Source organism: Homo sapiens, chromosome 2 (assembly GCF_000001405.40).
Source record: "Homo sapiens chromosome 2, GRCh38.p14 Primary Assembly".
In the NCBI taxonomy this organism is placed as follows: domain Eukaryota; kingdom Metazoa; phylum Chordata; class Mammalia; order Primates; family Hominidae; genus Homo; species Homo sapiens.
This window is the reverse complement of record NC_000002.12, coordinates 6,728,208-6,751,195: the sequence shown is the minus strand read 5'-3', so window position 1 is coordinate 6,751,195 and position 22,988 is coordinate 6,728,208. Positions and strand designations below refer to the sequence as shown.

Here is a 22,988-nt window from a genome sequence, read left to right as displayed (position 1 = left end):
CAACCCTGAGCCACAATCCTTTGCAGCCAGCGCTAAGCTGTCCCTGTTTATTTAATTCACTTCTATTTCCCCAGGAAATAGTATTGCTCACTTCATTAAAGAGAGCGGAGAAAGGATTCTGGCACACACACACTCTTTAACATGTGTTTTTTGTCCTTATCTTATTGACTCAACATGCAGATATCCCTGCCAGAAATGTCCAATTGTACCTTTGTCTAAAGAAGATTTTATATTGATCTTCATCTAATTAGCTAGTTTGAACTATGGTTTGTGTCATGATTCCTGTCTTGATCTAATTAGCTACTGCAGTTGAAGCAGCATGGATCTGAAATCATAATTGCTGGTGTGCAGAAGGCTTTCTTGTGCAGGTCTATGTGCTAGATGGAGGCATTTCTAAGCATTGCAAACCATCAACAGCTTACACTGTGCCTGCTAAATTGGCTCCAAATTCTAGAAATGCGTTTGAATTTGACACCAGAAATATCCTGGCATTCAAACCTTGGTGCAGTCACATCTAGCTTTGTGACCTTAGGCAACAGCCTTAATCTCTCTAAACCTCATTTTCCTTATCTGCAGAATAGGCAAGGCTCTGAGGATGAAGGATGAGATAGCTGTCTGGGGAGCTACATACAGACACAGCACTAGCTTGGTACCCAGGCAAATGGGAGGTCAAACCTTCTGTTTTCCTTCCCTTCGTGTGCATTCGAAGGGAACGCACACGGCAATTTTGGCTGAGAAAATAGATTTCCTCTTCTCTGTGCCATTTCCCACTAAGACGCAGACGTTCTCTTCTCCACTTCCCATTCTGACATTTTTCCCTCCCTCTCTCCCTTCCTTCCTCCTTACTTTCCTCCCTCCTTTCCTTCCCTCCCTCCCTTCCTTCTTCCCTTTTCTTATTTCCTTCCTTTGGTTTTGAATTTCACATGGAATTCCTTGAAGTGTATTCACCAAACATGACCAAGGAAAGCCAGACAGGGAATGGCATGTGGTCCCACTTTGGAGGAGGGTAGAAGTGAGTTATGTCTGAGGCTTAAGGAGAATGAAAGCAAAACCAGAGAACTATTAAAGCCTGCAATTTGACGAAATGGTAGAAAACCTAAGTCCAGATAGGAGTGTGCCTGTGAACCTCAGTGTGTGGAGTAAGAATGAGCAGGACTCCAGGGGCTGAGGACGGACAGATGGAGCATGGCTGGGTCTCCCCAGCTCCTTCCTCATGGCCATAATTCTCCCTGGGGGGAGTTTTAGTGACTTGTGACTTTCTTGGTTGGACAAAAATTCCTATAGGTTATTCTGTAGTGTGAGCACTTAGCCTGAATTCATTTTCTTTTTTCCTATGCTACTGTTCTGGGGGCCCTGGAGCCTTATAATTAATTAATGGTTAGTGCTGCCTTTGAAATTCAGATTAGCTTTCCTACAGGTTTACACTTTAGAGTCTAGAAAGCTTTCTCTTTCTCTTTCTTTTATTTATTTATTTATTTATTTCTTTTTTTTTTGCCTATGCTGCTTTATCATCAGGTCTTGAAAATAGCAGGTTGGCATTTATTTTCTAGCTTTAAAGATGAGTTTTGAACTGTGGTTTACTTTTCCGTGGGAGCCTGCAGGCTTTGCATATGTGCGAAGCAATCCCATGTGGTTGTAGAACCACAGTTTCAAAGGCTACCGAGCTCTGTTCCCAGAGCTCATAGCTATGAAGTTGTCAGGAAAGCTCTTATAGTGAGGAAGCTGTCCCATCTCCTTCTGTGGTTGTAGGATGAAATTAATTAATTTTGAAGAAATATAAATGTCATAGCTTACCATTATAATCAGGACAAACATTAATATCAGCTTCCTTAATCACCCCTAACCTAACTCTAAAGAAAATCTTTGCAGAGTTGAATTTGTGGGATATGACAAATTTCTAAGAACACAAAAACACATAAGTTGACATTTAAAAATTTTTTTAACCATTTTGATACAACTTCAACTGACTTCCAAAATCTTCAGAGCTAAGAATGTAGTGGAACCAAATTAAAAGCACAGATATTGCAGCTTGCAGATAAGTCTTCTTTTCAGTAATGTGCTATTTTTGTCTCCTTAAAAAATCACACAGTCTATAAATTTAGAGAGTAGAGTTTATTTCTTGTAAAGGGTTATAGCCTGCAAGGTTGCATCCCGCATGCTGGGAAGTGTAGCTTCTAGGAAAGATCAGAGACAGGCACTTCAGAGGAGAAGAGGTTGGGACAGGAGCTGGAAGCTGAACTGATTGGCTAACATACATATTCAACAGGTTAAAGGAAGGGCCATGGATATTCATGAAGGTAGTCCTAATGCATTCACACCAAATAAACATGCATGTTACGTACAAGCCACGTTTACCTTGGGGAGTAGACTTAATATTTAAATGTATTTTAATTAGACCTCATATGTTGAAAGGTCATTTGAGGACGCAAAGGCATTTAAGTGGGCAGCCTCTGTAAACCAGCCAGAACTAGCCCATGGTTGGTGGTCTTCTTATCAGGAGAAAGTGATTTAAATCAGTCTCCTGTCCAACCAAAGCCGTAGTTACAGCAGGTGGAACAGGGGTCTCAGTGTCTCATGGCCGGGGAGGTGCAGCTGCTTCAACATGGCTTATCTCGAGGCCAGTGCTTGTTTAGCTGTTAGAGAAAAAGAAAAAAACCTGTGGCAATTGGAACAGACTTTATGCCTTACGTCTGTGTGCCTGACTTAACCCTTGCCTGGCATGGCTTGTTTATAATTTGGTATCTTACAGTCTCAAAGAGTTTGTTCTTTCAGTCTTTTGGTCTCTATTTTGAAATTAACACTGATCAGTTTGGGGTTCAAACTGCAAAATGGAGGGGGTATAATGAGGTGTGTCCAGCTTCCTGTCTAGTCATGGATGTGAATTCACTTTCAAGGTTTCTCTGGGGTCCCCTTGGCAAATAGGGGATCCGTTCAGTCAGTTGTGGGGGGTTAGGATTATATTTTTATATATACTTTATATATATAATATCATACATATTTTATATTAGATTTCTATTATCTCTCCAAGCTGCCATATGGCTCACATGGCATCTTCTGAAAAGCCTTCTTATTGCAAAGTTAGTAAGGAGTGGAATTTGGGGCAAGTGAGGCACAGCTCACTTGCCCCAAATACCTTTACACACTGGAAATTACCACCACGAATTTCCTTCATTGTGCTAATTTTGTGTCTCCAGGAGGAACAGGCATATCAGCACATTAGAACCCATGGGCCGTCAAATTCATAGGGATGAGGGATCAAGACGGCAGAAAGAGTTTAATGGCCAAACTGTCTCCCACCCCAAACTTTGTGAAATGACAAAAGTGTGGTATTTAAAAAGAACATATTAATTCTGGGAAATAAGAAAAAATGGTCTTTAATTGTAGATTGTGTGAAAGTTTGAAAAACTCTAGAAACTAGAGAAAAGAAGGGACTGTATAAATAAGAGGCAGAAAACCACAGTCAAACACACACAGCCCCTGGCTCCTGGTATGCCTTTGATTACACACGTTCCTGCACTTCACTGCAGGCTCTTGGGGTGGGATGTGTACTCTCCTCACACTTGTGTCTTCATTTGTTAGCCCTTCACCTCCACAGCACTCCACAGTGCTTGGAAGTTAAAGTGAATAAACACTTTCTCAAAATTTGTCCAAAGCTCTCCTGAATACTTACCTCAATCCTTTCTCCCTGGAAACTGTGTAGTGGGGTTTCCCCTAAATTCAGCTTAGATTTAAAAAAGTCTAGTCATGAGTCTGTACTTTCTTAAGAATTTTCTTTTCTCTTTTCTTTCTTTCTTTTTCTTTCTTTCTTTTTTTTGAGACAGGGTCTCCCTCTGTCGCCCAGGCTGGAGTGCAGTGGCGTGATCTTGGGTCACTGCAACCTCCCCCTGCCAGGTTCAAGTGATTCTCCTGCTTCAGCCTCCTGAGTAGCTGGGATTGCAGGAACGCGCCATCACAGCCTGGCTAATTTTTGTATGTTTAGTAGAGATGGTGTTTCACCATATTGGTCAGGCTGGTCTCAAACTCCCAACCTCAGGTGATCCATCCTCCTTGGCCTCCCAAAGTGTTGGGATTAAAGGTGTGAGTCACCATGCCAGCCTACTTTCCTAAGAATTTCCTAAAGCTCTTTTTTCTTGTATTGGCGGTTGGAACTTTGGGTGCGATAAGTTATTTAGAATCCGAAAGCTAATACAGAGGGCTAGTAGTAATGGATGTGAAGCTTACTTTGAAACAGATATCAATAATCTCTATTTTGCAAAATAATCTGACATGGTTCCTTGATTTCATGATCTATGTAAGTTTTGCAAAATGCATCCCTGGTGTTCAAGAGGCAACCAAATTACCTGCATTAGTTGCACACTTACTGCATGATTGATAATGTGCTACTTGGAGAAACAAAACTTAACTACTGGTAAATGAAGATGAGTCTGCTCTAACTGCAGACTAGAAGTTCCACAGAACATTTCAATATCAAAGTATCTTCAAATCATCTTGGCCATCTCCCAAGTTCAAGTGCTGCCCTGGATCACAGGGTGCACCTGCGCTGCCACCAGCCTATTCCTTCTCTCTGGTTCCATGGCATAGCTCAGTATTCAGGGTGGCATCACCCACCTGACCATCTGTGAATTCTTCTAGATTATGCCCTCTGCCCATTCTTCTCTCCCAGCCATCACCAGCTAATGCTCCTTCCTTTAAAAAACCTTCCCATTTTCATGTCTACCACTGTTGTACATCAGACCACATCACTTGCTCAGACCATTTTGAGAACCAGTTAACGTGTTTCCCTATCTTTCTTCTGGCCCCTTAAATTAATCCCCCAAACTGCATCCTGTATAATCCTTCTAAGATGCAAATGTGATTTAAAATTATGCAGTGGCCAGTCATTGCTCTGAGGGTTAAGTCTCTGACTTGGTCCCATCACCTGCTGTAACCCATCTTGATTTTCACACTTCAGTTAACACTAAATTGTATTCCCCCTCCCCCACCACACACACACACATGCACACACAATTTTATGCCCCAGTGCCTAGCTCTTGCTCCCTTTATCTAGAATTCGTAGCCTTCCCCTGTGTTTTGTTTTCTGTTTGAGTAGGGGTTTCATTCTGTCTTCCAAGCTGGAGTGCAGTGACACAATCATGGCTCACTCCAGCCTTAAACTCTTGGCCTCAAGCGATCCTCCCACTTCAGCCTCCTGAGTTATTGGGACCACAGATGTAAGCCACAACAGCCAGCCCCTTTTGTTAATATTTACAAATTCGATTTCCTCCTTAGAGACTCAGATTTCATGTTCTCTCTTCCAAGAAGCCTTCTGTGAACCAAGATAGGACAACAGCCCCTTGTCTGAGTTTTCATAGTGCCTGGCTTAATTGGTTACTTAACATTTGTCATTGTATTATTGAATTATTTCTTTCTTCTTTTGTGTCCTGCAGTTCACTGTGAACTCCTCATGGAGCCTGGCTGATTTTTGCTTATTTGGGAATTTCCAGAACCTATCGTACTGCTTGGATGAAAGATACTCTAAATATTTTGCTGAACTAAAGTAAATTGATTTTTTTGAACAAGTGTCATACCTGGATGCACCTCGTTTTGTAATGATGGAAGTAAACTCGAATGCAGGCATCATTTCACTTGCTCTTCGCACAGTGCTGTGAAATGGAAAGATGGTTTCTTGGTTTGAGGGAAGAGGGCTCTGAGAATTCAGAAGCAAATGTAGGATTTTAGCATCAACTTGTCAGACTATAGGCCAGGCGCTTATCTCACACCAATAAGAATGGCTCTTATTAAAAACAAAAAACCAAAAAACCAGCAGATGCTGACAAGGTTGCAGAGAAAAGAGAACGATTATACACTGCCAATGGGAGTATAAATTAGTTCAACCATTGTAAAATGTAGTGTGGCAGTTCCTTAAAGAAATAAAAACAGAAGTACCATTCAACTCAGCAATCCCATTACTGGTTATACACCCAAAGGAATATAAATCATTCTACCATAAAGACACACGCACATGTATGTTCACTGCAGCACTATTCACAATAGCAAAGATATGGAATCAACCCAGGTGCCCATCAATGGTAGCTTGATAACAAAAATGTGATACATACATATACCATGAAATACTACACAGCCATAAAAAAGAATAAGATCAAGTCCTTTGCAGGAACGTGGATGGAGCTGGAGACCATTATCCTTAGCATACTAATGCAGGAACAGAAAACCAAATACCACATGTTCTTATTTCTAAGTGGGAGCTAAATGATGAGAACCAATGAACACAAAGAGAAGAACAACAGACACTGGGACCTACTTGAGGAAGGAGGATGAGAGGAGGGAGAGGAGCAGAAAAAATAACTATCAGGTACTATGCTTAGTACCTGGGTGATGAGATAATCTTTACACCAAACCCCCATGACATGAGTTTACCTATATAACAAACCTACACTTGTAACCCTGAACTTAAAATAAAAGTTAAAAAATATAAAAATAAAAAATTTCAAAAAGTAAATAATTTACGTTAAAAATAATAACCCCATGAGGTCGTTTCCCATTACACAGGTGAGGAGACTGAGGTGCAATCTTGCCCAAGGCCACCAAACCCATGTATGCCAAAGCTGGACACAAACCACAGCTCTATGCATTTCATTTCACCAACACACATCTTTCATACACTTCTCTCCCACAGAGTGTATTGCACATTTAGCGAATAAGTTTAACAACTTCATCCACACTATCAAAGCCAAGAAGTTTGACTGGCTTGTGTTCCTTTGTGATAAATTTAATAAATTATATATATATGTATACAAATAGAAAGCTGACCAGCACGAGAAAAAAATGCAACTTTCAAATCACTCCACACAGGGCTATTTCCCAGCGACTGTGGAAGCCATCCCTCCAACATGCCCTTCCTACTGATGATTTCCTCCCACAGGCAATAAGTAATCATTCCAGGACATCCTGATGGTATCTGAAGCATGTGACATGTCATTATGCATATCGCCGTTAGCCTCCAAATGCTGGGATAGAAAGTGATGTGTAATTTCATTAATCAGGGTTTTGCTGGTGTCTGTGGTTTGGTGCCATTTATTATTTGGATACAGTTAGAATTGCAAAAAAGAAATCTTTCTCATAATCAAAAAACATGAATTGAGGGCCAAGCTGTGCCTAGAACTGTAACAGGAGCGGAATAGAACAGTCAAATGAAAGAGTGTCTAGGATCTTTAGTTTAGTAATTGGTCAGAGTGGAAACTACTAATCTGGGTGACTATATAGAGACTTTAACAATAACAAAACACATTTCCCAAATAATCAATGCATTACATAGTAATCACAGGTTCATTCCAGTATGGAGTCTGCCCTCTGTATCCATGGGTTTCACATTTGTAGATTCAACCAACTGTGGATTGAAAATATTAGGGGAAAATTACATTTGTATGGAAAGTGTATATTCTTTTCCTTGTCATTATTCCCTAAACACAGCAGTTTAGCAACTGTTTACATAGCATTTACATTGTATTAGGTATTATAACTAATCTAGAGATGATTGAAGGATATGAGAGGATGTGCAAATGCTATACCACTTTATGTCAGGGTCTTGAACATCTGTGAATGTTGATATGGGGGTTTGTCCTGGAAGCAATCCCCCACTGATACCAAGGGTTGACTCTATTTACAAGTGGTCTGTATTGGGGAGACTGAAGAAAATTGCTTGAATTTTTAGGGGGCTGAGCGGGGTTGTATACATCATAGTTCCCTCTGGTCCCATCCGTGCATCTTAGTCATGCAAGTGCGTCTGTATTTATTCGCTCACTGGGCCCTCAGAACAGTCTTAAGATAGAGACAAAGCATAGATTACTATTCCCTCTGTTCAGATGAGGAAAAGAAAGACCTAGCAGGGGTTAAGCTATTTGCCCAGACCATGGAAAAGTGTGTGCAGAGCCACATTGAGAAACCGTGGCTTGTGACTTCTCTGAGTACATTCTCTGCATCCACATGCTGGCTTCAGCTCCCAATGAAATGCTCACGGGTGACAGGTCACAAGGAAGTTTCTAAATTACAGAGGAAATGCAGGGCACATCTCTGAAAAATCAGAGAGGACCTTCATCCGGCTCCACAGGGAGCCAACCCTTCCGTCACATGGCCAGCGATGGCCATGCTGGAAGCTGGAGAGATACCTCCTTTCTCATGAAAGATCAGTGAAGAGCATCGCTAATGTCCGCTGTGGAGAGGGTGCGCCTCCTTCAAGGAGTCCTGGGAGCCCCAGACAACAATTTAAGATCACTGGGGTTGAAAGAAATAACACGTAGACATATGTGGGGTACCACTGTGAAGAAAAGGCCGCAGCCTCTAAACGTTAGATTATGACTACTGCTGTTTTCTCTAAAGTCTAATTCAGGAAAAAGATGTGGACGGTGCCACTGGCCAGAGCGCGGTGACCACTATGTTTGACTCCTAAACCTGTCAGTCCCGTCTCTGTCACAGATGAGAATTGCACAAACACTCCCTGCTCACCCTTTCCAGTGCTTGCTCTATGGTCCGGAGGGAAGGAACACAACAAGCTTTGAAAAAGCAACTTGAAGGGAAAATGGATGGTATGAATAGGAAAATCGATGAAACACGCATTTGAAAACAAGGAAACTTACGATATTTGTTTAGAAGAACTGAGGAAAATATAAACATCGAAGTTCTTATTTGTTCAAGGAAAAAACTATTAATTTTTTTGCTATGTTTTGTTTTTACTTTTTAAAGTATGTCATACAAAATCTATTCATTTTGAAATTTTGATTTTTGCATTGGTAGTTACTGACAACAGACTAGGATTTTTGTTTGTTTTGTTTTATACACCTTTATAAGACTCCATTAAGTTGAAAGTCCTTCTAGAAAACTTTGTAGGAGACAGATATCCTACGAGTGCCTAACAGGCAACAACATCAACTTTGCCTAATCATTGTTAATGAGATTTCATTTATACCAATATGATAATAATGTTTTAAATAAGCATGTGTGTTTGCATATATACATACAGATTATATATAGTATCTTATAGATAGATGATATACCTAGGCACACACATATATCTACACACACCGATATTTGCATATCTATATGTGTCTGTGTTTATATATCTTTCTATCCAGTTTTATTTTAGAAATATTAATATTATGCTTATTACATTTAGTATTTCCAATAAATATTTTCCAAATATTATTAAAATTTGCCAAAACATTTTAAAAACTTCATAATATTACATAACAGAATTATTTGTTGTTTTTCATGTCATCTTATCTCATGCTGATATTTATGCCTTGTTTTTTTTTTCTATTTTGTCTTTTGCTTTATGGGTTATGTTTTGATTGCTGTTTCTTATTCTGTGATTGAGAAGATTTAAATACTATCTGAAATGCTACTAGTAGTTATATTTAAGTATCTCAAACAAATTTTAAAACTATATTCCTGTTGTTAGTATTTCACAATTATATTTTTTCTTGAGTTTTCTAACAATAAGGCAGGAGTTGGGTGCCTTAGTTCATTCAGGTATCACCGCAAAATATCATGGCCTGGGTGGCTTGTAAATAGGAGGAATTAATTTCTCATAGTTCTGGAAGCTAGAAGTGTCTGATCAAGGTGCCAGCAGATGTGGTGTCTGGTGAGGAGCCATTGATTGGGTCATAGATGTCTCCTTCTTGCTATGTGCTCACAGGGTGGAAGAGATGAGCTAGCTTTCTGGGGCCTCTATAATAAGGGTGCTAACTGCATTCCTGAGGATTCCACCCTCATGACCTCATCACCTCCCAAAGTCCCCGCCTCCTAATACCATTACCTTGAGGGATAGGGTTTCAACACAGAAATTTTAGAGGACAAACACATTCAGAACATAGCACTCCCTTTTTACTTCCTGTTACAATTTCTATTAATACAGTCTGGTGTTTTGAACTCAGGTTAATACTATTAATTTTTATTTCTATATATTTTTATCAAGAATAAGTTTGGGACAATTGTAGTTGCTTTTATAACCAGATGCATGAACTCTAAGATTTATGTTGAACTATTTTAAATGCTCAGGGGAATTCTTATCATTTTACTTTTCCATTCTTGAGTCTTTAATTTGCGTATTTATCTTGCAATTGAAGCATACCTTCAAATACTTTTAACAAATGATTTATTGTTGTTATTTGCTTGAGCTCTTGAATAGTACAGCATGGTTTCCTGTTGTCTGTGTATGTGATTTTCATTTTTCATAATTAGCCTGGATTTTAAATGGTGGGAGGTTTCTTAGGTGAAAAGGTTAGGTAGACCATCTAGGCAGAGGGACAAAATCTATAAAGGTTAAGAGGTAGAAAAGAAGCTTTGTATTGTGGAAAATGGCAAGGATCTGGGGTGAGTTGCACCGGGGCACTCAGAAAGGCATGGTGTGAAATGAAAATGGAAAGTTGTTTGTGGTGGTCTTTTGCTCATGGTTACAGGATTTGAATTTCAGCCTTTTAATTTCTTTTCCCTTTAATTTCTGAGGGTTTTTTTTTTTGGTTGTGCTTTAATAAAAATATACGTATATAGTAGCAGTAAATGTCTAATTGATACAAAGATATGTATGCATGTATGGAGTATGTACACTCAAAATATTTTTAACAATAATATTACATTTTAAAAACAATAGTGATACCAAATTTTAAAAACTATAGTTGTATTAGTTCATTTTCACACTGCTATAAAGAACTACCCGAGACTGGGTAATTTACAAAGAAGAGGGGTTTACGTGACTCTCAATTCAGCATGGGTTGGGAGGCCTTAGGAAATGTACAATCATTGCGGAAGGCAAAGGAGAAGCAAACACCTTCTTCATAAGCCGTCAGGGGAGAGAGACAGAGAGAGCACAGGGGAAACTGCCACTTTTAAATTATGAGATCTCATGAGAACTCCCTCACTATCAGGAGAATAGCATGGGGGAAGCTGCTCCCATGATCCAATCACCTCCCACCAGATCCCTCCCTTGACACATGGGTATTACAATTCAAGATGAGATTTGGAAGGGGGCACAGAGTCAAACCATATCAATAGTGATGGCAAATTTTGCAAAGTTGTTAGTGATGGAATTCAGGAACAGGAGTACCAGGACAAAGCCTGTGTGTAGAAAGCACACTCTATGGAGGAGGAAGTCTTTGGGAAGAAGACCAGAGGCAGCGAGACACCGGGAAACCTTTAGAGGGGGAAGGTTACGGACTCGTGCCATTTCATTAGCAAGAACTCACTTACAGCTGGGTCAGCCCCGTGGCAGCATTTCAAGGAGAGTTAAGCATGTAACCATTAAAAATAACACAAAAGGGGGCCTTGAGGGCCCACATGGCACCTCCAGAAGCCTGTTCCTCCCAGCAGCTGTCACCCAGCTAAAGTGCATTTTCCTCTCCTCTTTGCAGGGTGACCTTGTGGAGGTCACCGCCAGAGGAGTTTCCGGAAGCCCAGCGGAAAGCATTGTAAGGGAAGTGAGCAGCAGTGATGAATTATATAAACAGTTTGAGGGAAGACAGGTAAAGGCTACATCAGGCACAAATCAGCTTGGACTGCCAGTGGGGATTTGCTGGGCGCTAGCACTTGCTGCAGCCTTTAAGGTGAGGCCGACAGTGGACCGTGGCTTCAACCTTTCTTTCAGTGGCCTCTGCAGCTGTATTTAGTTACCCGCAATGCCTTCTGCCTGGTGCCTGCAGGAATCTCACTGCAAGAAGCTTATCCTGCCCCTCTGAGCTCCCATGTGGCTGTGCTGTGCCTTGTCCAGCTGCTCTGGTGACAGTGACTGCACCTGCGGTCACCTGCCTTGAGATGAGGATAGTACAGGTTTTTTTCCTTAGAACCAAGCTGAGCACAATTCTCCTACTCTGCTGGTGGAGGCATAAATTGGTCTAAAGCTTTTGAAAACATAGAAGAGACTGTGTTAGTTGGCTTGGGTTACCCTAACAAAATACCATGGACTAGGTGGCTTAAACAAAATAAGTTTATTTTATGTTTTAGTTCTGGAGGTTAAAAGTAAAAGATCAAGGTGTTAGCAGCATTGATTTCTTCTGAGGCCTCTCTCCTTGGCTGGTAGGTGTCTATGTTCCCTCTGTGCCCTCCTGTGATCTTCTGTGTGTGTGCGTCCTAACTTCCTCTTCTTACAATGACACCAGCCATATTGATTAGAGTCCCACTCTCATGACCTCATTTTACTTTAATTGCATTTTTAAAGTCCCTATCATCAAATACAGTCACATTTTGAGGTGCTAGGAGTTAGGGCTTTAGTATATGAACTTTGGAGAGGACACAATCTAGCCCTTCACAGTAGCTATTTAAAGCTCTGAAGATATTCATTCTTTTTGTCCAAGCAGGCTTACTTCTGAGAATTCATTGTATTGAAAAAATCTAAAATCTAGAAAAACTTTAGGCACAAAGATATTAATAAAAGCGTTGTTTATGTACTATAATGGAGGGTTCACTAGCATTTTGGTTGGCTGCCCCTCTCAAGAAAGTAGTCAGTGTCAGGAGTTCCCTTCTTTGGAAGAGGAAGATGAGGAGACAAGATGGATTAAGTAAAGGAGACAACAATGTAAGCTGGAGATCAGTACTGGAAAAACAAAATGGAGTTTGAGCAGCTCTGTGAGTATAAATTTTGAGTGAACAGAGAACATTCTAGAGAAGTTGTTTTCTTGAAGTCATACTGTGCAATGTCCTCTATAAACCTGTTGCTATACTCCTAAAGGAAATCTTCAGTAAAGATCCATGTTTTCATTGAGACTTGGTCAGTGGACTGAATCCTTGGTGTATGACCATGGCTGAAAAATCATAAAGTGATTAAGCCTCTAAAGTTTATTCTTGCAGTTTAGAAAGACGAAACCCAACATAAGTGCCCAATTTATAACGCCATTAGGAAAAATGGTTCATTATAGTATGTGTGTTTCAAACACTGACTTAAAAAGCATGTAAAATTTAGTCCTTTCAAGAGGTTGACAAATAAGGAAAGAGATCAGGTTTGTAGAAATTGCCACTTTTGTAGCTAAATGTCTCACAAGCTTTCGGGATGAGGTAAGATGCCATAAAAATAATTTAATAAAAATATTAATGTTTAAAAAGAATTTAACATGACCAGAATCATTTCATTAAACTAATATGTATAATAGGAGAAAAGTACTTGGGAAATTATTACTATAATGAAAAATAATATGCACAAAACTTGGAAGAAAATAAATTCAACCACCACCAGCTATTTCCTTTCAATAATGAGATGCTCATCATTTCCTTTACTCTCATTTTACGCATGTGTTGGCTTTTTAAATACTTTATTTTGTTCTTCAACAACAAAAATTCTATTAAGTGCCAACTATAGACAGTTCTGAATCTGAGTTCAAACAATACAACATGACACATCTAATTTAATTCAATTAACTTTCATTACTGCTAAGCACTGTTTGAGCTAGAGCTCAGAGATAAGACGTGCTCTGATGCTGTAGGGAAAATCAGGCATGAAAACATTTAAGTAAAGTGCAAGGTTGCTTGGAAAAAACATGTTAAATAGTGAGAAGAAAACTGTGCTGCAGACGTATTGAGCTAGTAATTCAGACAAAGGGAAAGTCATGGACAGGGTAAGGGGGGCATGTGACTGGGCATTAAAATATAAGAGGTATTAGGTGCAAGAAAATTTATGAGAGGACATTCTAAGCAAAAACATCCTGCATAGGCAAAGGTCTGAAATAATATGTTATGCTTACTAAAGGGTGGTAGGTTTTTGTTTAAAATGGGTGGCAGGCTGGCCAGTGTGGGGCTTGATGGTGAGGACCCAGTGGCCACATTGAAGACTTAGTACTTTCTTGGGAAGCAGATGAGACAACTGTAGAGTTTTGAAGATGTCAGTGCCTCCCTGTATTTTAGGAAGACTACTCTAACTTGAGTGTAGGGAGAGAGAAAAATAAATAGACACACCAAGAAAGGGTTAGATTTCTTCTTCCTACATTCAGCAACAGCAAAGACATACATACCCTACTGAGATGTGTCCAGGTAGGAAATCTGAATATTTGGAGTGATTCTCTCTGTCTCTGTGTCTGTCTCTTTCTCTCTTCATCCTCTCTTCTCTCTCTGGGAGTATGTTGCTGATATTTTTGGTAAATTAATTTATAAAATGTTGGTTTTTAGTGGGGAAATCAAGTTGCTGATATCAAGTGTGCAGGCCAAGTGAGGAGGTGGTGGCATTTTCTTGACCTCTAGAAATTAATTAGTCTTCAAAGAGGTGAGGTTCTCATTTCGGCAATCTGCCTAACACCATTGATGTTTATCTTGCAGAATTCCAAAAGACATATTTTCCAAAAACCTAGGAGTACACTGAGCTCACTACTGTGGAGGGCCACCTCATTTTAGGCCACACATGGCAGTTTTGCGCTCAGTCACTTCTTTCATTCAACTTTCTTTGCCCCGACACTTTGTCCATCTCCAGAAATAAAGTTCACTCTGAAAGGACTGATGTTTCTCCACAGGCAGAGGAGCCTGGCAACCATGTCCCAAGTTGGAAGGAAGCTCTGAGAACCCTGCTCCCCAGAAATCCTGAGCAAAGGCTGGCTGGCCTACAGGTAGGGGGCACTGGGAAAGACCTGCATGCCTTTGAACAAATCGGGTTTTATATATTTGTTGAAAAATAAGAGACATTTAATTTATAGAGAGTAGATGGGTAAAGTCTGTTGGGTTCCAGAAGAGTTGATGGGTTTAAGAAAAAACAAAACCATCCTATATTTACTATGTGTGAATAGAAATTTAAAAAGTCTTCAGAAGGAAGAAACCCCAGGTAAGGATAATACAGAGACACCAAAAGCCCCAACACCCCCCACCCCGGATGAGATAATAAGTTCCCCTGGAAGCTTTCTCTAGCCTCTTCCAGAATATGAATTTTGCTCTTTTGTAGCATTTATTGCATAGTATGGCAACTTACTGGGTAACACATTTGTCTGCCTAAGAAATTATGAACTTAAAGAGTGGGACAATGAATCTTGTCTCTTTGCAAAGAGGCTGAACTATCTGGCATGTATTAGTTTCATTTAATAAATAAATGAACACAACCAAAGAATGTTTAATTATGGCTTGTGATATATTGCCTTTGTGAATTTGGAAATCCTCAGAACACTCCTAAATTCCACTCTTTTCATCTGTACAACAGAGAGAATAGAAGTACCTTCAAATACTGTTATTTTGAATATAGTTAATTGTTCTTTTCAAGAACACTTTCTAAATGATGTTAGTCATCATGCAAACACATTTTTAATGTTTCTCTTTCTCAGCTTGGTCTTTATAAAAATGCTCCCAGAGCCTAATGATTTTTGTTTTAAGTGCAGACAATATATATGAGAACATGTCAATAGGACTGAAAGTCATTTTATACCCTTGGAAATATTAATAATATATTCCTTATGAAGAAGCATTTTCTTAGATAAAGTGGTAAGTGGTGTTTGAAAACAGAAAGATCAAGAAAATGTCAGGACCAACCAGCAATTATGGTGCTTCTGCCCCCATGTGAGTAGACAAACCCTGAGGTCTGCCAATCTAAAAGCTGAGAGCTCTGTCCCTGAATTTAAAGACCTTTGCTCTTTGAAAACAATAAATGCATGAAAAAAGCAAAACTGTCAAAAAAGGGTACTGGAAATCACTAGAATGGCATGTAAAAGCATATAATTCTTGTGCTCTCACATTCTTGGCCAACAGGGTAAACAATTTAGAACCTCTAACCTTTCTGAAAGGTCTCATGATAAAGTGGTCTTCTTATTTGTACAGAAGTCACAATTCAAATAGTTTAGGACATATGTGTACCTTTCAATGGTATAAGTAATCATGTCAGAAAGAGGAATCTGAAAAATGTGTCTAAGTTAAATTTGGTGACAGAGTTCTCAAATGTGAGAGGTATATTTTATTTGCTGAATGTTGAAAATATAGCCTTGAACTAGCTAATGAAAGGGTTTTATTTAGAACAGCTCAGAGTTTGGTATCACACATTTGTCCAGGAAAATGTGCTTGAAAATTATCCCTATATTTACCTCAAACTATATATTAGATTAAAAGACAGTCATTACTAAAAGGTTTTAGATACATAGAATTTTCCAATATGAATTTCTCAATATAAAAAGTTTTATATTGTATTTCTGATTACCATCCGAGAACACTATTTGGCCAATCTGAAAAGACAATCTCTGCCTCACAGACACTACATCAGTAGGGTTTTGGATGCTGGAAGAAGATAATTCCAGTATTAGAAATAAAGCATGGAAAACATACTGTCTCCTGAGCCCCAGATCTAGTGTCTAGGATTGGGTGTGAATCTCGGATCTAAATTGCCATGACAACCTCGTTTCTTATGCATTATCTTGAGGTAACTGGGATTCAAACTTAATGGGATTTATAGGTTGAAACTATCACCTTATATTAACCCAGAAATAAATTGCTAGGTAGTGTGGAAAGAGCTTTGCTATTTAATATTGAATGCTTATGGAGTCTAAGGCTCTCAACTCAATGTAGGCGTGGCAACCACTGTCCTGAAGAAGGCTGTGTTTCAAACATAGGGTATCTGAAAGTAAACTCTCCATTTTTGCCTCGTTGAGTTGCCATTAGCTGCAGTTGGTATGGGGCATGCATTTCTGCAGACACCTGGCAATGGCACTGTTTACTAAATATGTCCAACCACCTTACAAATATCATCTCTGTCTCTCACAGCAACTTCACAAGTGCTTATAATTGATGAAATTGAGTCCTTAATTTAATCTACTTACTCAGTACACACAGGCTAAAGCCAACTTTTGTTTTTCACTACATCCTGCATCTTATTACCTTGTCTATGCAACAGGACTTCCACCTGTGAGGATTTGAAAAGTGCCTCTGGGTTTGCTGGACATCAGCATCTCATGATAGACTCATGTTCAGTAGAACATCTGAACTGTGCATGCAGCTGCAGAAATTCTCTGCTTTTATTGGGCTCTCTTCCCTTGATTTGCTGAGAATACTGAGGTTTTGGGAACCTGCGGGTTACACCTTCCACAGATACATTTTGTTGGGTTTCCCTCCAGACGTAAGCTCCAGGCTTCACTGATGCCTCACTCTTGCTTGTCTCTAATTGCTGTGGTCTTTTCCAGGGTCCTCAAGGGTGTCTGGCAGGAAGGAAAGATGTGTTTTCCCACTACCCCATCTCTAGCATGGACACAAGTCACTCCCTCATTCTGCTTGACAAAACTGAGGAACTGTAATAGTTAACAAAGCTCTTTAGTAAAAGAATTAGAAACAACCCCCCTCCCACACCCGAACTTAATATCTGTTGACCATTAAAAACAAAATCCAAAAAACCTTGTTAACTGTTGACCATGCCTTTTTTCTGGGAGTTCCCCAATGGCTACTTCTGCTTTGACCCTATACCCCATTGATTGGATTTCTTTCTCCTTGGAACAGAGCCCTCTTCTCCTGGTTTTACTCATTCCCTAGTCCCAGGTCCCTCATACCCCATTTTTGCATCTACCAGGGGAAGAAAGAAAAAAAAAAAAAAACATTTAAGACCAAAATAAAATCTCTACAGTGATGTGTCCTCCCCACCCCAGGGAAAACTTGCTCTGTAAAGTAATTCCTCAGTGTTGTCTCTCTCTCCCTCTTTCTCTCTCTCTCTCTCTCTCTCTCTCATTTCCTTTAAGTTCCTTGTACACTTGGTTTGGGTTTGGTTACTTAAGATCTTTACATAACCTAAAGGCCATGAAAGTATTTTCATAAATGAGACATACTCCCACTAATATAAATTATGTTGTCACCTTCAAAAGCAGACAGTGAAGTTTAAAAAAATAGTTATAATATAATATTCCAACTGTTCTGTAACATATATATCCACCTATGAAAATTGTATTCAAGTATAACAGTATGTGCTTAAGGTAACCACCATCAGCTTTAGGGAAGGTTCTGGAGATGGTGTGTGAAAGCCTGCCTTGTGTAACAGATGACATGTAGCGCTAGTTTTACTAGTCCCTCTAACCCATAAGTAGTCTGTGGAAGCAAGGGTCAAACTTCCAGTTTACACACTGGGAATCTGAAGTTCAACAAAGTTAAATACTATTTCCAAGTCATATGGTTAATAATGTGGTGAATTTAAGCTCTGGACCCAAGTTCCCCAGACTCTGATTATATTGTTCTTTCCGCTGCACAAAGTTCTTAACTCAGAATAACTAGCTGCCAAAAAAATTCTAGACATTAAAGAAGAAGATGGATGTAAATTATAATTGTGGGGATCTCTTGCTTCTCCAAATTTTAGTAGGTAGATGGCTTCCTATTAAGCCAACACAGTGACCCTGGGTGTTACAGATGTTTGGAGGTAAAATAACTGGTGTCTTAGAGATCTGTAAATCTTATTTGAACACTATTTTTTCTGATGCAGGAGCAGTCTAGAGTAAGAGCTGTTTCCTGGCAGAGGATCAAGTATCCAGGTCACATTGAAGAGACATGTGAGGACTCCAATGGAGAACAATTTGAGAGTGAGAAACCAGGTGAGGTGTTTCTCACTCTAGGAAAGTTAGTGAATCTACCATAGCTGGGAGACAAGGGGAATTGTAATTAAGAAAGCCAATATCATGACTGGAATGTTGCAAGACATAGGAAAACTCAGAATATTTTAGGTAATGGAGTTTGTTGGAATATTTTTGGTAATGGGGTTTGTTGAAATATTTTTGGTAATAGGGTTTGTTGGATATTTAGGTGATAGGGTTTGTTTCCCTATTTATATGGGAAAATAGGTAAGAGAAAATTGGCTACATATCTGGGACACAAACTTGAGGACGATTCAGGATGTACTCTCTTGTTGTCCACTGTCAAGGAGGTGACTATGCTTTCTTAGGGCCCTTATTATTTTGTAATGTTAGTCCATTTGTGCTGTTATTAAAAAATGAGTAATTTATAACAAACATGAATTTATTTTCTTCCAGTTCTGGAGGCCAGGAAGTTCAAGATCAAGGTGTTGGCAAGTTCAGTGTCTGCTGAGGACCTGATCTCTCTTCTTTCAAGATGGCATCTTGTTGCTCTTCCCTCCAGAGAGTAGAAATGCTGGAACCTCACATGGAGGAAAAAATGAAAAGGACCAATGCTAGTTCCCTTCAGCCTTTTTATGAACTCACTAATTCCCATTGAGGGCTCCACATACATGACTTAATCACCTCCTAAATGCCTGACTTCCTAATACTCTCATTTTGAAGATTAAGTTTCAACATATGAATTTGGGGGTCATATTCAGAACATAGCACTTATGATACTATCTCAAATCATAGACTGCTTTCTCGGTGGGCATCTATCTCAGTTTCTTTTCTGTTGTTATTACAGAGTACCTGAGCCTGAGTAATTTATAAAGAAAATACATTTATTTTGGCTCATGGCTCTATAGGCTGGGAAGTCCAAGATTGGGCGGTTACATCTGGTTGGCTCCTGGTGCGGGCCTCCTGCCGCATCATAACAAGGTAGAGAAGTGAAAGGGAAGGTGGGCTTGTAGGAAGGGGGCAAAGCATGAAGGGCAGGCTTGCTTTATAGAAACTGGGACACAGCACCCCACAGGATGAGTGTATAAAGGCTAGACAGACAAGGGGATTGTTGTGTTGAACCTGAAAAGTCCCCTCACCTGGCAATGCTCTCTGTTCCCTGTGAGAAGAAGGGGTTTCTTTTCTTCTGGGATGATTCATCCCTTCACCTGTGGCCTTCCCTAGAGCCCATCCTTGTGCCATTCTGCTCTCCAGGCACATCTCTCTCAGATGAATTCCCTCTTCCCTCTTCCTCTGGCCCCTCCTGTTTATTTATCTGTTTCCTCACCACTGTGTAATCAGGTAGGCCCCACTGCTGTGACCTCTGGAATAATGATTGAATCTGCCCTATCCTCTCCACAGTGATGCCTGGGACCCAGCTGAGATCTCCATCATCTCTCAAAACAACTGTGCACTGACCTCCTGACCTAAGCCCAGCCTCTGCCCACTCAGACTGACCTTCACGCAGCTGCACAATGCTGCATTTGGAAGCCGGACCTGACCACATTCGTTTCCCTCTGTTGGTCTGATTGCCTAAAAAATGAAGCTCTGGGATAGGTTGCTTGTCTGACACTGTGTTCCTCTCCTGCTCCTCTTGCCACCTCCCTGGGACTCTGCCCTGCAAGAGCATGCTGCAGCTCTCTGCACATGCCATCAGTCCTGTGCCTTCTCATTTCCGTTAACATTGCCACCTCCTTCCAGAATGCTTTTCTGCTCACATTAACCTGTCTGACTCCCACTTAGACTTTGCTCACAGGGCATCAATTCCAAAATAAATCGTATGCCCTGCCTACCTCTTTCACCTTTCCTGACAAACTAGCTCTAGCTGCTGACTGTAGGAAGCCTGAAAATCAATAACTAGCTGTCTCAGCTGCAAGAAGGGGGATAAGGGTTGGGCCAGGGTATGAGTTATATCAATGGCTTTTTTCTTTCAGAGATTCATGTTCTGGAGAAATGAAAATGCTGTCTCAGTGGAATGTTGATTAGCTGGAGTGGAGACCCAAGATCTCTGTCCAGGCAGGGCCATCAAGTGAGTTTGGGATGAATTTCTTTAATTGCTTCTCTAAGATTGACGCTTGCTGATACGACATTAAAATTTTGACCAAGTGAAGCTTCTCAATTTGTGCACCTGATTCAGGCATGTACAACAAGAAGTCATGATAGGAAAGTGCCCTTGATTCATTTTACAAATAAAAATTCCAAGGGCTGTGATGAGAGTCATTATATGTGCAGACACTTATAAAAAGATATTAAGAAAGTCTCACTTTTCAGTTTATTAAAAATGGAATTGAAATGCTTCTTGGTGAGACATTGGAATCTGAAACCTCAAAATGACCTGCAGAATGCCAAGTACGTAATTCTAGTTTTCAATTCCTCAGGCAGGTGAGTCAGAAAGTCAGAAAATAAACCCATGCTCCCAGAAGTCCAAGGCAGTTCTTTTTTCTGTATTATGTTACCTTTGAGGGTGGTACAGCTGGCTATGTACTGATGAATTAGCCCATTAAAAACTGAGTCATACAGCATAAAATATGGCACAACGTGAGAGTTAGATCATGTTTAGCTTGTCATATACTGACATGCCACTTAATTCCCTGTTTTATAATAAAGATGGAGGGGAACTGACATTTTTTGATTAACTGATGTCCTTCTGTGAACCAGGACTTCTACATAAATCTTCTCTTTTAATCCTGATTTACTTATGGCCCATTTTACAGTTAAGAAAACTGAGGGTTCCCTAATATTTAATGAATAGTGGAACAAAACCAGATTGATTTTGCTCTACAGCCTACACTTATTCTACTGGAAAGCAACACTTCCTTTTAAAGCGGGTAAAGCGGTATTGAAGCAGCTATTTTAAAGGCAATGCTAGCATATTGGTTTTTATTTGACTAAAAAAAGCAGCTATATTTGGCACATTCTCTAAGATATTCCTTAGTAAATAAAATATCTGCTGAGGGAACAATCACTGCTTATCTATTTCATCTTTTTTTTTTATCTTTCTTCCTCTGGCAATAGAACATAGAAGTGCTCTTGGCTTTCCAAAATCTGCACATCTCCAACTTTTCTTTTAGCTAGAGGTGGCCCTGTGATTGATGAGTGACCAGCCATGTGTGGAGAAAAGCAATGTGAACAACTTCTGACTTCGCTGTTAAAGAAAATTGGTCTGTCCCCCATTTCCTTGCATTCCCATTCTTACTGGCTGAAATTCAAAGCTGATAAATGGAGCTAGAGCAGATAGCTGGGAAAATGAGTTGAGGGTCTTACATTAAGACTTGCCAGCAAGAAGAAGAATTTTTCCAGGGTTCCTGACACCGCCAAATTGTTCGATCAGCTCTGAACTCTATACTGAGATTCTTTAAGTATGAGAGACATGAACTTTGACTGGCTTAAGTGAGCTATTGAGGTCTCTTTGCTATTGTGACCTAACTCAGGGGTCAGCAAATAACACTCTGTGCGCAAAATCTGACTACGATCTGTTTTTGTAACTAAATAAAATTTCACTGAAACACACCCATGCTCATTTATTTAGGTATGGCTGCTTTCATGATACCATGGCACATTTGACTACCTATAGACAGTGATATGATGTGGATCTGTGTCCCCACCCAAATCTCATGTTGAAATGTAATCCCCCTGTGCTGGAGGTGGGATCTGGTGGGAGGTGAAATGGGGGCGGTTTCTCAAGAATGGTTTAGCTCCATTTCTCTGCTGCTGTATTCATGATAGTAAGTGAGTGAGTTGTCACAAGATCTGATTGTGTAAAAGTGTGTGGCACCTCCCCCTTCTCTCTTGCTCCTTCTCGGCCATGTAAGACCTGCCTGCTTCCCCTTCACCTTCCACCATGATTGTAAATTTCATGAGGCTTCTCAGAAGCAGATGCTGACATGATTCCTGTACATTCCTGCAGAACTGTGAACCAATTAACTTCTTTTTTTAAAACTAAATTATCCAGTCTCAGGTATTTCTTTATAGCAGTGCAAAAATGGACTAATGCAGACAGTATGGCTGCAAAGCTTAAAGTATATTCTATTGGTTCCTTTGCTGAAAAAAATTGCTGTTTCTTGTTCTAATTAATACCAAAAAACCCCCTAAATTTAATGTGAGGGATGAACTATAAGTGAGTAGAAGGTGTCCTTATTTTGAATGTCACAGATCTGAATTCTAGGCCTAGCCCTGTTTCCAACTAGGTGTGTAATATTGGGCAAATTAGTTCGTCTCTCTGAATTGGTTCATAAGCATGATAAGAGGACAGATAGATTGCCCTTTGACATGTATGCAATAATCGGGCTGTAGCCTGACTTACTCAGCTAGTGATGGTGATGCAAGTCACGTGATTCCCTTTAGCCATCTTTGTGCACCAATACAGCCAAACCTGAGTGATTTCCATCTCCTTCCCTCTCTTCCACTTACTCTTCTTTAATAACACTTAGGATGGTGCCTTTAGAGATTCTGATGAAACGACTCAAATGC

The 22,988-nt window shown here is 40.0% G+C and overlaps 1 long non-coding RNA gene across 1 annotated transcript in view; it reads left to right on the top strand.

The window, feature by feature from the left end:
- The window catches only part of LINC00487 (long intergenic non-protein coding RNA 487), a 41,144-nt gene extending 19,116 nt beyond the window's left edge, over positions 1 to 22,028 (top strand). Inside the window, exons 2-6 of the long non-coding RNA NR_038369.1 lie at positions 14,481 to 14,573; positions 18,392 to 18,500; positions 18,936 to 20,041; positions 20,453 to 20,547; positions 21,534 to 22,028. This is a non-coding gene — a long non-coding RNA (long intergenic non-protein coding RNA 487). The remainder of the gene's footprint in view (positions 1 to 14,480; positions 14,574 to 18,391; positions 18,501 to 18,935; positions 20,042 to 20,452; positions 20,548 to 21,533) is intronic.
- Positions 22,029 to 22,988: the final 960 nt, after the last annotated feature.